General features: G+C 36.4%; 1 protein-coding gene across 8 annotated transcripts in view, besides 1 other annotated feature; it reads left to right on the top strand.

The window, feature by feature from the left end:
- ABCC9 (ATP binding cassette subfamily C member 9) overlaps positions 1 to 16,739 on the top strand; it is a 144,038-nt gene that overhangs the window by 45,404 nt on the left and 81,895 nt on the right. For all 8 annotated transcript variants that reach the window (XM_005253288.5, NM_001377274.1, XM_005253290.5 and 5 more), the window contains 4 exons: positions 708 to 748; positions 1,849 to 1,991; positions 8,089 to 8,197; positions 13,150 to 13,257. In XM_005253288.5, the coding sequence (XP_005253345.1) occupies positions 708 to 748; positions 1,849 to 1,991; positions 8,089 to 8,197; positions 13,150 to 13,257 (401 nt within the window). The remainder of the gene's footprint in view (positions 1 to 707; positions 749 to 1,848; positions 1,992 to 8,088; positions 8,198 to 13,149; positions 13,258 to 16,739) is intronic.
- Positions 3,357 to 4,886: an enhancer, noted in NCBI's record as "VISTA enhancer hs2151". NCBI's record gives its function as "enhancer in: dorsal root ganglion[5/17] | trigeminal V (ganglion, cranial)[5/17]" and the evidence as "EXISTENCE:transgenic organism evidence [ECO:0001131][PMID:17130149]".

Below are 16,739 nucleotides of genomic sequence, written 5' to 3'. Positions count from 1 at the left end.
ACTTTATCTTTGGTTTCTTGGTTCCTAAAATTCTATAGTTTATGACTGTATGACTATAAATCAACAACTTGGCTTTTTATTTTTACTGTTACTTCCAAACACTAGTATTTCAAGCTAAAATGTGAGTTTTTCTTATTTCAACTAGGCATATCATGCTGATCCAGTGACAGTTAAATATATTCCAGGAGAGATATTTAGACACGCAGAGAGTCCAGGATATGGAGTTATTTTATTAACTGAAAGGGCCATAAATGAATATTAATAACACTGCTGGAAAGAGAACTCGAAGTGATGTCAAGTTCTTGTTTTTAATCTGTGTAATAACCTGATTTCACATATTTAAATTAGTTTAGTGGACTAAACAAAAGATAGACTGTAACCCCTCTGTAGAATACACATTTGTAAATTCTAATAATTTTTATCATTAAAGGATGATTTTATATGGATTCTTTTGTTTGTAACATTTCATAAGAAAAAAATTCAATAAAGAAAAACAGAAACTGGTTAAGACTAATGTATGGGAACTCATAAAACTGCACACAAGTAGATATTAACTGGTAAATGTTTGTGGACTCCAGACAAAATGACATTTAATACTCTTTGTCCTTCCTGTCTTCAAAGAAAGTTAAAGCAATAATAGATGATTAAAGTTACTGAAAATGTTTTCACAGTTCAATGAAACTAATGCATTTTATTTCTTTCCACAGTCTTCATGAATGCAGCAATTCCCATAGCAGCTGTTCTTGCTGTAAGACACTTTTTCTCTCTTTTAGAAATGAAACCAAGTCAGTGTTTATAAATGATTTATGAGCAAGAATGTGTGGGTAGTAATATATATTACCTCACCTCTGTGACTTCTCTCTATGGCAGTCTCCATTGCAAGAGTTCTAATCCAGGGTTTCTCAGTAAAGACACTATGGACATTTTGAGCCAAATAAATTTTGTTCTAGGGGCTGCCCTCTGTGTTAGGACGTTTGGCAGCATCCCTGGCTTCTAGCTACCAGGTGCCAGTAGCAACCTCAGTTACAACAATCAAAACATTGCCAAATGTATGCTGGTACATTTGCAAACATTGCAAAATGAACAGCGGTTGGGAATTAACTGTTCTAATCTCAACGATCTGGTTCCCAGATACTCTTACAACAAGATGGAGCTAGATCAATAACCAGAAAATCTTAAATAATTGCATTATATTTCATACTAAAATGACAAAATCGGCAACTGGTATTATTTGTAGAAATGTAATTAGCTGAGCATGATGGCGCATGCCTGTAGTCCCGGCTAACTGGGAGGCTGAGGTGGGAGGATCACCTGAGCCTGGGGAGGTCGAGGCTGCAGTGAGCCATGATCACGCTACTACACTCTAGCCTGGGCAATGAAGTGATACCGTGTCTCAAAAAAAAAAAAATGGAAGTAAGTCTTCTTTGGATATTAATGCTGACAGTTTTAGTAAAGATCCACAGTGAGGACCCCAAAACAACAGAACATTCTTTTTTCTCCCGGAGTATTTAGTATTGCTTGGAAAGGGCTTGACTGGTTGTTGAAAACTCTGGGTTCTCCATCCCTTTATTCCCCCTACTTAGCAATCTGACAGGGTCAATTACCTAACCTGTAAGTAGAATTTTTTTCTAACTTTCTCATAAGTTTGCCACTATAATTGCAGGTAAGCCTTTCAGGACTTACCAAAAGCAAGTATTGTTTTAATTAGGGAGTTTTGGATGAAGTCATTGTTATCATAGTTACAATGGACATACTGGCATAGCAGAATATGTTAGGTTTCTAGGACTGAATGTACGCATGTGTGACACTTTTTCCAGCTTTCTCTAAAGAACTCCTTTCTTTGCACAGACATTTGTGACCCATGCGTATGCCAGTGGAAACAATCTGAAACCTGCAGAGGCCTTTGCTTCACTGTCTCTCTTCCATATCCTGGTCACACCACTGTTCCTGCTCTCCACGGTGGTCAGATTTGCAGTCAAAGCCATCATAAGGTATGCACTGAAGTGTCTGGCATTTTTTGCTTATTGATAATAGAAATGACGTGTGCTAATAGGAGTATTTGAAAAAATATAAAAAAGAACATTAAAATCACTGCCAGGAGACAACCATTGTTAAAATTGTGGTATGCTACTTTTCAGTCTTTTATTTATTTCATGTAAAAATAATTTTTCAAAACAAAAATTTTAAATTTATCTAGCATTTTTCTCCTGATTACACTTTTTTTTATTATTCTCCCTTCATTTAAGTTTTATAATACCCCATGTTTACTGACTATGCAATATTCTATGTTGGAAATATTCTAATTTATTTAACAATTACCTTTTAATTGAACATTTAGAATGTTTCTATTTTCTCCCTAACATAAATAACATTGAAGTTCACGCATCTCTGTTTATCTGTAAACTTTTCTCTGATGATTTTCTCAGGTTGGATTTCTAGAAGTGGGGATACTAGTTCTAATAATATGCACATCTTTGAGGTCCTTGATGAATATGTTGCTTTCCACTGAAGTGGTGGTAGGTCAAAGAGGGCACACATTTTTAAGATTTTTAAAAATGAATACAGCCATAATGTTTTCCACTAAAGCTGTGCCAGTTTATATTGGCAACAATAGTGACAGAGAATGTTCACATCATCACATTTACTATTTTAATTTTAGTTTAATCTGGAAAAAAATCCAGGCTTAAAGTCTCTGAAAATGGTTAAGAATTGTAAAACCATTTTGTATTTTGCTCATTTAAATATGCTTCTATAGTGTTTCCAACCAGTGCAGATTTTGTCTCTTTATAATATCTCATAATGCACAGCTATAAAAATAGATGTGATATAAGACCATTTTTCCACCATTTTTACTTATAAAAATGTGTTACCAAACTAGATGATACACTGCCTATACGACAGTCTATATGTCTTATGCTCCCATAAATAAGGCACTCTTAAAAAGGAATTTTTCTTTTTAGATATATGCTCTTTATAAACCTATAAAACCTCAGAATGCTTTGTAAACAATCATTATCATATTTATATCTGGCTTTTGAAAGAAGTGCCAAGATGTCGCAATATTGAAGAAAAATTGGAAAATTGAGCCTTTAAATATATGAAGTATCATGTTGCAATTGACGGAAACATAGAACATCATTTGTAAGACTTTTAAAATGAGATAATTGTGCTGGTGTCTATATCTTACTGAGAAAACTAGAATTTATTATTCAAAATACCAGAATCTTCAGTTTTAAGCCAATAGTTTGCATTTGCTTAACAATCACTTAATGCCCAATAAAATTAAAATGCATATAAATCATCTTATAAACCAAATTCTTACAGAATATGATAGTGTAACATAGTTTCAAAGTTAACCTCTGAGACATTCATTAACAACCAGTTCTAGAGCTGTTAGTGTCTAGAGCTCAAGCCTTCTGGCCACATCTGCCCTCATTTTCTTATTGTTCTGCCTTCTGAAACACTTGTCCGGATCACTGACTACTTTTTGTAGCACCACTTCCAAATTAGGCAGTGCTCTGGAAGGGAAGCTACTTCAAACAATAAAATTGATAAATGGCCAGAGTCTGCTATTTTGGTCCTTATTTTCATTTTCTCCACTCAGCAACTGTCCCTTTCATGGTTACACTTTTATTTGAAATTTGACTTTGTACTACAAGTGGAGATAGAAAAGCAGTTGATAACTTGCAATAGATAACACCTCTGAAATCAGGAGGTTACCAAATATTAAAAGGACTTTGACTTGATTAAAAAAAAATGAAAACAATCTAGGGGTGTCCCTCCAATCCATGGTATACAATTCCGTGGTAATAAATCCTAGTACAGTGGAGGATGGATATCCCTGTATATTTCTGCACAGCACTCTCCCTTCTGCACATCTCATGGAAAAGACATTTGCCAGTTTGATAAAGACCAGTCTTTCTTCAGGGCTCAGTTCCAGATTTCCCAAGCCATAGGCCAAACAGAATCTGCTTATAAAAGCCTGATTCTCTCAAATGAGTTTCAGTGGTTGAATTGCAGGTCCTACAGAGATGACTGGTAAGCAGAGAACATTAATCCTTTTTCCCACTGTGTGCTAGTTCTGGGAACCCAAATAAGTGCTCTCCCAGTGTTGATTGGACTTAGAGCATTTTCTTCTGTGCCTGGGAAGCCGTGACCAACCTTTAGTGCCAGTTGGCCCACAGTGAGTTGAGCAGCCTGTTTATAATCGGAGACTTTGGTCAGCTGATTTTGAAATCTCCTCTTCAGGAACTGTGGAAATTCTAAATCCCTCACTGCAATCTTAAATACATTTAGAAACTTGGTGGGTTAGAATGGGATAAAGCACACTGTCAAACTTGTGCTATACATGCATGTAAGAGACTTGTAAACTTCTCTACCGGAGGAGAATTCCATACCATGTTCAATTCTTGGTTCCAAAACAATTCTATGCTTTCTTTTAATAAGGTTTGGCTTATTAGCCAAAGTGGGCTTCATGGCATTCAATGGCTGAGACCTGTATATACCTCATAAAATGGAAGAATGAGGCAGGTGTGATTCAGATTGTCTCCTCACACCCCCCAGCACCCAACACCATTTGATTTTTCTGGACATTTTATGATGAAGTGTTCTTGTCTACTTTCACAAAACAGAATAATGAAAAGTAACTATTATCTAAAATAATAAAATGCTCGAAGAAGAGTGATTTCTTTTTTAGAATGCTTGCCTCACTTCTCCACTTTGTATGTTACAAATCTCCATTTCACCGTCTTACCACCATTTTACTCATCTCTACCCCAAGCCTCAGAGCATCTTCTGTGGATGTGCATTCATTTATTGATACAGGTACATTGCTAGGCATTAAGAATTCCAAAGATAAAAGACTGAAATCTGCAGGGAGTCCACAGCCTAGTTAGACAGACCAGGAAGGGAAACTAATTACTGTATGGTGGGTTATGGTGTTATAAAGCTATACAAAGAATGCTATGGCCCATAATGGCCATCCTTGAAGTTTTTGAGAGAGAAGGGAAACTATCTGGTCAGTAAAGATTTTTTTTTTTAAATTTTATTATTATTATACTGTAAGTTTTAGGGTACATGTGCACAACGTGCAAGTTTGTTACATATGTATACATGTGCCATGTTGGTGTGCTGCACCCATTAACTCGTCATTTAGCATTAGGTATATCTCCTAATGCTATCCCTCCCCCATCCCCCCACCCCACAACAGTCCCCAGTGTGTGATGTTCCCCTTCCTGTGTCCATGTGTTCTCATTGTTCAATTCCCACGTATGAGTGAGAACATGCGGTGTTTCGTTTTTTGTCCTTGCGATAGTTTGCTGAGAATGATGGTTTCCAGTTTCATCCATGTCCGTACAAAGGACATGAACTCATCATTTTTTATGGCTGCATAGTATTCCATGGTGTATATGTGCCACATTTTCTTAATCCAGTCTATTGTTGTTGGACATTTAGGTTGGTAAAGATTTAAAGGAGGTAGTGACTCTTTCATAGAATCCTTAAAAATAGGTAAGACTTGGCAAGTTGGAGAAAAAATGTAAAACATGTTTTAACAGCAGGAGCAGTATATTCACAGGGAAGAAGTGGGTAAGTAGGTGAGAAATCTTGGTATCTTCAGGAGATTAAAAGTAGTTCAGTGTCATTGGAGGAAGGGTTCTGATGTGGGAAGTATCAAGGCATGAAGCTCGAGAGTAAACTCCTGAGCAGCTTTTAGACGATGCTAAAGATGCTGAAAGGCAACCGGATGCCAGTTGTCACTTTAAGAAGCGGGTCATTACATGCACAGATTTGCATTTTAAAAATATAAACCTGGAAGCATGGTGGAAATTACTTCACCCTTGGTCAGGATTTGTGCATTTTCCATAATTGTTTTACCTCTGTGATTTCTGAAAGGACCTCGTATGAATAGAAAATGCTTTTCGTATTACCCATTTATTATTTCATCAGACATTTCTTTAGGAATTACCATGCTATATTTTAGGCATTGGGATAGATTCTAAAGATGAAAATCTTTGCTGCTAACGAGTTCACAGTCTAGTGGGAGAGATAGACATGGAACAAACAACAACAATGACAAAACATCAGTGCTGGAGATCCTCAGCCAGAGAGCCTAGAATGACTGGGGACATGGGAGGGGAAGGGAAGTAAGAGGTTCACAGATAGGTTAGTATTGGCATCCATTGATGGTCCTTGTCATTGATGTTTCAAAGTGGGGTGTTAAGAAGAGAGAATGTCGTCCCCATTCTCAATCAAGGTCAGGGACCATTGCTTCCAATGCTCAGGAAGAGTGGGGCTCATTTATTCCATAAAAGCTTTGAGTCTATACTGGAAAGATTCGTGATTTGTATCTATACTAGAAATGGGAATGGAGAATTGAACCAACCAACTTTACTTAATGTCAGAATCATTGATTTATTCCTTCTTTGATTTATTGAACAAACATTCCTTGAATGACATGTGCCAGGCATTGCTAGATTTGGAATTATAAAGGCAGATGAGACTGGCTTCTCCACTTTGTTTTTTTGTGCAGAGACATAGTGTGAGATTGTTTAAAGGTATTCCTTTGATTGACAGAGCTGCGCTTCTTAAAATCAAATCTTTTCAAAACATAAGAACAGAATGACAATTACAATCTGTAAAAGTGAAGAAGAAATAACTGCCATTTAAGAGGAATAAAATAATGTTTCATAACGCATTTATAACACTGTTTTTCAAGTCTATGTGGTCAGACTTTGCTATCAAAGACTCAAAGAAAGTGTATGAACTGAAGCTCTTCCTAAATAATTACCTCTTTTAGTTCTCTGCAAGTGCAATTTGACAGCTAATAGATTGCCTCAATGGATTTTCGTCTTCCATCATGTTTCTATGGCATGCAAAGCCAAAACACTTAAAGATCATGGGCAACAGACTAAATTAAATTTACCTTTTTCTCATTTTGTTATTGTGTCACAAAAAACAAGTTCTGAAGACTTGTCTGGAGGAACTTGACTATAAGTTCAAATAAAATTTTTAAAAAAGAAACCATTTATTTCATACATATATTTTCTAGTTTCCTATCAAAGGCAATACCTCCCCTGTAGTTGCTGCTGCATGTGCCAAGTTAAGTTTTCCCACTTGCTGCATCCTAGCTTGCCAAAAGGAGCACTTCTTTTCCTTTGCAACTTCACTGAATTTCCTTTTGTATATTATTTTATTTCTAGGATGATGTTTACAAAGCATATTATCATTTTCTTTGTTTTACTTATTTATTTTTGCTCCTGATCCTATGACACTGGTTTGAGAAAATTAGAATGGGTAGAGTAGATGAGCCAAGGAGTCTTGTGCCCAGCCTAAGGAGGTCACATTAAAGAATGTTGGCAAACCAGTCTTCTAGAGCAGGGCCTCTCAAATGGTGTTTATAAAGTGCCTCTGAGTATTGGTCAAATACATAATGTGATTCGTATTTGGAGGCAGGGCTGAGATTTTCTGTTTTTAATAAACTCCCAGTTGATGCTGATGCTGGTGGTCCTTGGCTGAAACTTTTGAGCAGCAAGACTCTAGAGTCCCCTCTCCTTGCCAGGTTCAGAAAATGTGAATCATGCATAGTGCTTAAGCAAGATACACAGTGGCCAAGGATTCCAGATCCTTGCATATTACATGCTAAATGGTTTTAGGCAGGTTACTTAGTTTCTCTGTACGTCACCTCCCCATCATTTGTAAAACTAGAATACTAAGAGGACTTTCCTCATTAGTGTTATTTTTAACCACCCTGTTCCAAGTTCCTAAACAACTTCACTATTTTTGACAAGGAATATAATTGCAAAAAAAATGCAAAGAAGGTTCTGTTGAATTTAGGGTGACAAGTGGTCCTGATTTTTCTGACATTTTTCTGGTTTTAGTACTGAAAGTCCCATGTCCTGGAAACCCCTCTGTCCTCAGCAATTTAGGATGTTTGGTCGATCTAGCTGAATTCCCAGTTGGTCTTGAAAAATGACTCTCACAGGCATCCTACTCACCATAATACTGTGTGTTAAAGTCGTTATTTAGGTAGCACTTTGTTGGTGGTGGTTTTATTGTTAACTCTTATTCTGTGTTTATTGTTTTTTGCAGTGTTCAAAAGCTGAATGAGTTTCTCTTGAGTGATGAGATTGGTGACGACAGTTGGCGAACTGGTGAAAGTTCGCTTCCTTTTGAGTCCTGTAAGAAGCACACTGGAGTTGTAAGTGCTTTATTTTTGTTTTGGAAGTTGTGAATAGAGGACAGTCTCAGCAGAATGGACAGATTAATACAACTGAGTTAGAAGAGATTATAAGCTTTAGTTTTTAACCCATGTGAAGAAAAATCACGACTTGCTTCTCTACAACCTCACAAGTCTAAAATCAATAGACGAATGTATAAGGCTTGTCTTTATAAATCCAGAAAAAATTATCCTAAGAGACAAGACGTGTTTAATTCAAAAGGAAATTGAGAGTTTGCTTACTCCAAATGTATATAAAAATAACACCAAATAAGCTTACTCATGCACCATTTTCTTATAATACCATTTAGCTATACTACACTTTATAGTTTAAAACATATTTTCTGATGCATTTTATCTTTTGATCCACTTAATATATTACATTGTCTCTTTTTATTTTCCAGTTGAATTACATTACATTGTCTCTTTTTTATTTTCTAGCTCTTTTTATTTTGCATGTCATGAGGCTCAAATAAAGTCATAAGATTACTAAGTGGTAGAGCTAGAATTAAAACTTGAATCTTGTAAGTTGTAGACCAGTTCATTTATCCATGATACAAATATTTACTTAGTATCTACATAAAATCTAGAAACATAGTCAATATTATTTTGTCATGCATTACATGTAATATGAATAAGCTTTATTTAAATATATGACTGTGTTTTTTATTTTTTGGCTGCCCTGTGCTTTGTGCCAAGACTTAGGGTTGTAGCAATGAACAAGACATGTGATATCCTTCCTGTCACAGAATTCGCTTTCTTGAGGCAGGAATTGATAAGCAAATTAAAACAGTAACATAGTTTCACTGTGTGAAGAAAATGAAAGAGGGTATTAGAGAGTGAATTGGGTACTTGAAGCAGGGTGGTCATTTCCAAGAAGGCCCTTCTGGAGAGCCAGCATTTGAGCTAAGACCTGAATAAAAAATAGGTACCTTTCCTGAAAACTTATGGGAAAAGAGCATTCCATGCAGGAGAACTAGTAGATGCAAAGATCTTGAGGTAGGAATTAATTTGGTGTGTTCAAGGAACAGAGGGGCACTGTGGCTGGAGCCTGGTGAAGAAGAGAAAGATGAGATGATGCGAGAACAATGATTGAGGGCCCTCGTAAGCCATGGAAAGAGTTTGGATTTTATTGACATGCAATAGGAAATTATTGGAAGGTTTCAAAGTAGGGAGTAATATAATTTTTGTTTATATTTTTAAAAGATTATGTTGTTGTTTTCTGTGTAGAAGGAAGTCAGTGGAGGACAAAGAGTAAAACACGTAGATCAGTAAAGAAGTCATTATAATAATATAGGCAGGAGAGGATGATGGTTAGAATTAGAGCTTTTGGTCCAGTTGCAGTGGATATTGTGAAAAAAGGAGATCAAATTCAGTGTACACTTTAGAGGTTGAGCTGATACAGACTTGTGATAGATTGGATGGAGGAGATGAGGGAGAAAGAGGACTCAAGGAAGAATCCTAGGTTATTGGCTTGACTTCTGGGTAGATGATATAGCCATTAACTGAAATAGGGAGGCTGAGAAATGAGGAGATGGTGTTGAGGTAGAATCAAGAGGTACATTTTGCACATGCAAGTTTTGAGATACTTCTTAACCCAAGAAGAGACATAAGCATTGGAGATATAAATTTAAGAGCCATTAGCCATTAGATAATATTTAAATCAATGACTGGATTATACTACTTTCTTGAAGGAAGTGTCTAAAAAATTTTGAAGAAATTCTTAAAAATTAATATATTTCACAAAGTAGAAAAGCATTATTCCACCGTGAGTCATAAGTTAATGTTAGTTATAATTGTTACTATTAGAAAAAATATGAATATATTTACCATTTATGTGAACCAACACAATCAGTCTCCTGACTGGAACTGATTGGAACTTGGAAAGCTTTTCCCAGGAAATCAATCTATATTATATATTTTTAAATCATGTTTAAAACTGCTAAAAAAGGCAATCTTGTGGTTATATATTTAGACTCGTTTCCTTCTGTTGTTCTGGAGGTGTTTGTTTTTGTTTTTGTTTTTTCACTTTCTGTTAAGTTGTTTTACTGAACGGGTGTGATTTTGTCTGAGAAGGGACCACCAGCCATGTTTATATATGCTGGAGGAACAACGCCTCAAAATGCTTGTTTGTTAGTGTGGGGACATGGACACAAAGACAAAAATGCATTAAAGAGTGTCTAAACTTTTAGGCAGTAGGGGATCAAATATTTGATTAGAACCAGTCTCGTCACTCTTGGGATGGTCCTAGACTACCAAGGAACTTGTCTTTCAGAGATAGGGGGATAAGCAGAGTGAGATGACCTCAAGAAACGGCATATAGGAGGTCAAGTTCATGGAGTTAGGGAAATCTGAAGAATTTTTTTGTATGAGATGTGGCATAGAAGAAAAATTGAACTGAGAAAAGGTTTTGGAAAGAAAAAAAGAATCCCCTTCAAATGCATCCAATATCTTCAGGGTTATTGAAACCAGACTGGACTTCTTGATGTCTTTCAGGGTCATTCATCACTGCTGATGGGCCAAACCACAAATGACAAACTTTTTAAAATGGAGTGAAAAAAGCTGTGTGTTTGAAAATAACACTAATGGAAACTCCTTCTTGAGAGTGCTTAAGATACTATGTATTCTGTAAAAGCTTAGAGTTAAGTGGTTTTGGCTGTAGAATCTCCATGGAGAATTAGTGACAGTCTAGGGCCAAAGTCTCTTCATATTACATCTGTGGAACTTCGACTCAAATCTCTGTCAACACATTTACTCTTCCCACCCTGTTCTTAGTTTTGTGAAGGGCATGAAGTCATTTCTTTTGGACCTGTGGGGGCAATAATGTTACAGAATTAAAGACTCTAGAAGACAGTACATTTTATATGTAGGTGTAGACCTGTTTTGTATGGAAAATATACTTAGCCTAAAGGATAGTGGCTTTCTACAACCTCTCATGCAGTGTACTTCCAGGAGTATTTGTGAGGGCTGTAGGAAGGAAAAACAAAACTAAAATAAAGTTCATGAACATACTCTCCTCCTCTCTAAGTCAAAATATATTAGTATTTTCTGTGTGACAGAACCACTGCTAGTGTCTTACTTTCTAATCTTTTCAGTGGCTTTTTAATTTGTGTATTTATTTGCATGTAGCCTAGCAATGTACTATTTGATAGTTTGGGTGTTCTCTTGATACACCAGTTGATGGAAATTGGAAGAGCAATATCTTGTTTGGATTAAATTACTGATTATTTGAGTACATTCCTAATTCCCATAGTAAAACCCAATGGATTTTTCAAAAAGCTAAACCTGCAGTTCCAGGCCAAAAAATAACCCCCCAAAACCAACAACTTTCACAATTCTAGAATCGTTTCCTTTCTAGGTAACTTAACAGTTTAAAGTGTATTATTACTTAGCCTTCATAGTCTCTATAAGGTATTTGAGTAGGAAGATAATTATGGCTGAGTGCATTGGTTCATACCTATAGTCCCAGCACTTCGGGAAGCTGAGATGGGCAGATAGCTTGTATCCAGGTGTTTGAGACCACCTGGGCAACATAGGCAGAACCTGTCTCTACAAATAGCAAATAAGTTAGCCAGGCATGGTGGCAAATGCACCTGTAGTCTCAGCTTCTCAGGAGGCTGAGGTGGGAGGATCACTTGAACCTCGGTGGTCAAGGCTGCAGTGAGCTGTGTTCATGCCACTGCACTCCAGCCTGGGGGACAGAGTGAGACTCTGTTTCAAAAAAAAAAAAAAGTTAATTATTTATGTTGAAATACTGACTCAATATGTTTCTGGAAGAAATTTTGAGCTTTAAAATTTTTCCAGATTAGAGGTTTATGAGCTAAATATTCTACTTTCTCTTTAGCCATTTATCTCTGTGTGAAACTGAACCAAAAAATTAGAGAATGACAAATTTCTAGATATGACTTACATTCACCTTAAATATGTGAAGACTGTCACAACTCAGCTGGCATCCTCTTTATAAAGGATGTTTTAGTCCATTGACTAGGAATAGGGCTATAACATTTGAGATAGACTAGATCATTCTATAAGACTTATGGATCTCCTGATGAAACACTGTAATATCTTTGGACAAAAAAAAATCTAGATCTTTATGCTTTTGTCAATCCATAGCAGAAGCTGGGTGCCGTGTAGCTCAATCTGATTTATGTGAGTGTATCAGATTAAAAATCCTCATGATTCAGAGAATTATCAATAATGTACGGGTGGAATGTTTACAAGCCTGATAACTGTATTAGTCTATTCTCACACTGCTAATAAAGACATACCTGAGACTGGGTAATTTATAAAGGAAAGAGGTTTAATGGACTCACAGTTCCACATGGCTGGGGAGGCCTCACAAACATGGTGGAAGGCAAAGGAGAAGCAAAGGCACATCTTACATGGTGGCAGGCATGAGAGCATGTGCAGGGGAACTCCCCTATGTAAAACCATCAGATCTCCTGAGACTTAGTCACTATCACGAGAACAACACGGGAAAAGATCCCCACACCCATGATTCAATTACCTCCCACTAGGTCCCTCCCGCAACAGCCAAACCATATCATAGCCTAACAGATGGATTCTAGTTTGACCTGAGTTAATCTGATCACCTTTTAACACCATGCAGTTGTTTTTATTGCCTGGGCATAATCCATCCATATCATCAGAGAAAGATTATCCAAAACTTAGTTTGGGACTCTGTACTTTAACTTCCATCATTTGCAAGTATCCTATTTTCATATTTTTCATTTTTTCTCAAGAGGCATGTGAATGAGGTTTAACTATAGCTTAAGAATTTTTCATTTTTTTTTATGAAGGAGTCACTGAAATAATTAAAATATAACATCCACTTCTTTTTCTTGGAACTTAGGTAGCAATGTGAGTAAGTGTTCAGTAAAACTTCATTTTTTTAATAAAGCCTCAACTTGTGTTCTTTTCCATTTGGAATGCAGCAGCCAAAAACTATAAACAGGAAACAGCCTGGAAGATATCACCTGGACAGCTATGAGCAATCAACACGGCGTCTACGTCCCGCAGAAACAGAGGACATTGCAATAAAGGTTATTTTTATTTCCTGGATTCTTACATGAATAGAAACATTTATGTTACTATTTTATGGTGAAGTTCTGTGAAAGTGTCCCAAATTGTGCCTTTAAATTGTTTTTACAGTTGTCATTAACCCTAATAACATTTAAAAAAAAATTCTGAGTTTTAATTGTCAGTTCTTCCTCATCTCCCAACCACAATTTTTGCTCCAGCAGCACATTTCAATAACCAGAGAATGTGACTTTCTTCTGAATCTGCTTTAGAAGCTAGTGTCACATGTATTTTTTCTGGTATTCCTATGTTTATCAACCAAATAAATTGATTAATGAGAATACCAATATTATAAGTTCAAATTTCAGGAATATAAATTAAATAGTCATTGTTTTCAATCAGGGGAGACTCAGACTAGTGTATGCATTCACCAGTTTCCCGGTACTGCCCTTGATCTCATTTCAAACTTGGCTATTTGGACTCTCCCCAGGCATTGTGCTTAAGTTAAGGCAGAACAGGCAACCGAGAGTTGGGGATAAAAGGGAGTAATCAGTGTTGTGCAGGAATTGGAAGAGCTGCCGGCAGCAGTCAAAGGCCTCCATCCATGGGAGCTGCCAGAGTCCTGGAAACTTAGCAAACTGGCTGCATTGGCTACTGGAGGATATCCAATTCTCCTGCACAGCCTAGGCCAGTCACAGAGACGGGGAGGCTCAGTATGGGGTTTATAGTAGAGCCAAGAGCTATGTTTAGGTCTCTCTCTCCTTGACACCTGACACAATACCTTACCACAATAGCCACTTCATAATCAGAACAAACATGTGATTGAGTGGAACAAGCTAGTGCTAGCCCTCCCTTTTCCACTAATTTGATGCATGATATTTGGGCAAATTACTATGCCTCATTGAGCCATGGTTTGCCCATCTTGAGGTGGACATGCCATTTTAGTGTGGTTGTTTTGGGGTTAAAAGGATATGTCACATATGAATTTTAAAGAGAGCTCTAGTGATTCTTGACTTTGGCTATGCATTAGAATCACTTACAAAGCTTTAAAAAATGTGTGTGTGTGTGTGTGTGTGTGTGTTGTTCCCTAGGCGATTATAATGTTCAGGCAGTGTGTGAACTAGGGGCTATGAAAAGATAAGGAATGAGAGATTGGAAATGGTCCTCTATGCTGTTGTTTCCCCACTATGCCCAGATAACAACTAATGTATTGGTGAATAAAAAACAGGGCCAGTTTTTAATTGACATTTTCTGTTCACTATAGTAGGAATCTAAAAATATGTCTTTTCCATGTGTTTCATTAATTTTCTTTTTGAAAGAAAAGAGAGACTATTATGAATTTTTTTTCCAAAATTGACCATTCATGCATTAAGAAAAATAGCTGCTTATCAATGGCTTTGACTTTGCTGTGCTTCTGAATGGCCTCCGCAGTTTCAGGCTCACTTTCAAGCCCAAATTAATTTTTTATTTACGGTGAAAGCTCACAAATTGGTAATAATATATTTTTGAAATATTTTTATTGTGAAATACAACATACTGCAGAGAAGTACATATTTATATCAGCAGCTCCCTCAGAAAATGCTCCAACACATATATCTGCTGTCTTCTTATATTTTTCCCTGAGATATAATTGCCACCCTGTGGCAATTATAGTCATCATTTCCTTGATTATTCTTGCTATGCTTGCTTCCCTAAGAACATATTTTTAGTTTCTTAAAAGTTTAAATATGTGTATATGTGTGTGTGTGTGTTGCTTCTTTTGCTCAACACTATGTATGTGTAATTCACCTATATTTTATAAATGTAATCCATTCACTCTCATTGCTGTTCTATTGTACAAATTGTTCCATTCTATAAATATACCAGAATTTAATTATCTGTTCTACTTTTGATGGTCTGTTGGGTATTTTTCAGTTTGGGGCTATTGTGAACAGTTGCTGAGTTGTACGGTATGTGCATCCTCAACCTTCCTAGATAATGGCAAACTGCTTTCCAAAGTGATGGTGCCAATTTACAATTTCACCAGAAGTGACTGAGAGTTCCTGTTGCTCTACATCTTCACCAAAAAAATGCTTCTCATTTTTTTGCCACGTGTTGTGTGCTGGGAGAGGTGTAACTGTATCTTGCTGTGGTTTTTATTTGCATTTTTCTGATTACAAATAAGGTCAAGCAACTTTCGATATAAGATATATTTATGAAAATGGCCACTGGGGTTTGAGTTTGGATTTCTCTTTTGTGAATTACCAGGTTGTTTGTCCTTCTCCTCTTTAAAAATTTTTGGTACTACTTTGACAGTCACATATGTTGCAAAATTCTTCTCCCACTCTGTGTAACTTGGCTTTCCACTCTATGATATCTTTCATTGAACAGAAGTTCTTAATTTTAATATAGTCTAGGATACAACTTTTCCTTTATGGTTAATGCTTTGGTTTTTCATCTTATTTAAGAAAACTTTTCCTACCCAGAGGCCATGAAGACGTTCCATATTAGCTCCTAAAAGCTTTGAAGCTACACTTTTTAACTTTAGTCCTTTAATACACATAAGATCAATTTTTGTGTTTAGTATGAAGTAGGGATGTGATTTAGTAGGTAAATCAGGGATGAATAATTTATTAGTAAATCATAAATGTAGCAGTAGTACATTTAGTAGTAGTCATTTTCCCAAATTTAGTAGTAAATCAGTAAGGTCTGATTTAATGTTTTCAAGTGTGATATCTAGTTGCCTAGCCCCATGTATTATTGATCACTGTCCCCACTGATCTTCAGTGTGATATCAGTTACACATCAAGGATCTATATGTGTGTGAATCAACTGATAGCCTTCATTTATTTTTCTCAGATTTATGTGTGTTCAGTACTCCGCTGTAATGATTACTATAGCTTTCTAACGAACATTGACACCTTTTAGAACAAGTCTTTATAACTGGATTTTTTTTCCTTCTTAGCTATACTTGGACCCTTGGGGGAAAGAGGCTTAGGTGTTCTGGGGCTCACACCTTTGAATTTGTATTTTTTCCTTATATTTTGGACTTGGAATTTCCTAACTGCTTCTTTTAGTGAGATTTTTTACAAACCAAATTTTGTTCAGCATTGTTACTTATTTTCAGCAGGAGAAAATGGACAATGGTCTGTGTGTGCCCTGCCTTTAAATTTAAAAAAAAAAAATTCTTTTCATTGAGGTGAAATTCACTTAGCAGACAACCATTTCAAAGTCAACAATCCAGTGGCATTTAGTACATTCACAATGTTGTGCAACCACCACCTTTACCTAGTTCCAAAACTATTTCATCACCCCAAGAGGAAATCTCAAATCCATTAAGCAATTGCTCCCCATTTCCCACTCGCCTTGCCCCAGGCAGCAACCAATGGATTTGCCTGTTCTGGATATTTCATATAAATGGAATCATATACTAGGTGACATTTTGTGTCTATCTGGCTCCTGCTTTTAAATTTTAATTCATTCTTTCCCTGTATGCCTGATACTCCTTCCTATCAAAGTCACCTCA

Source organism: Homo sapiens, chromosome 12, assembly GCF_000001405.40.
Source record: "Homo sapiens chromosome 12, GRCh38.p14 Primary Assembly".
Taxonomy (NCBI): Eukaryota; Metazoa; Chordata; class Mammalia; order Primates; family Hominidae; genus Homo; species Homo sapiens.
Note: the sequence above shows the minus strand (reverse complement) of the source record. Positions and strands in the feature narration are given on the sequence as shown.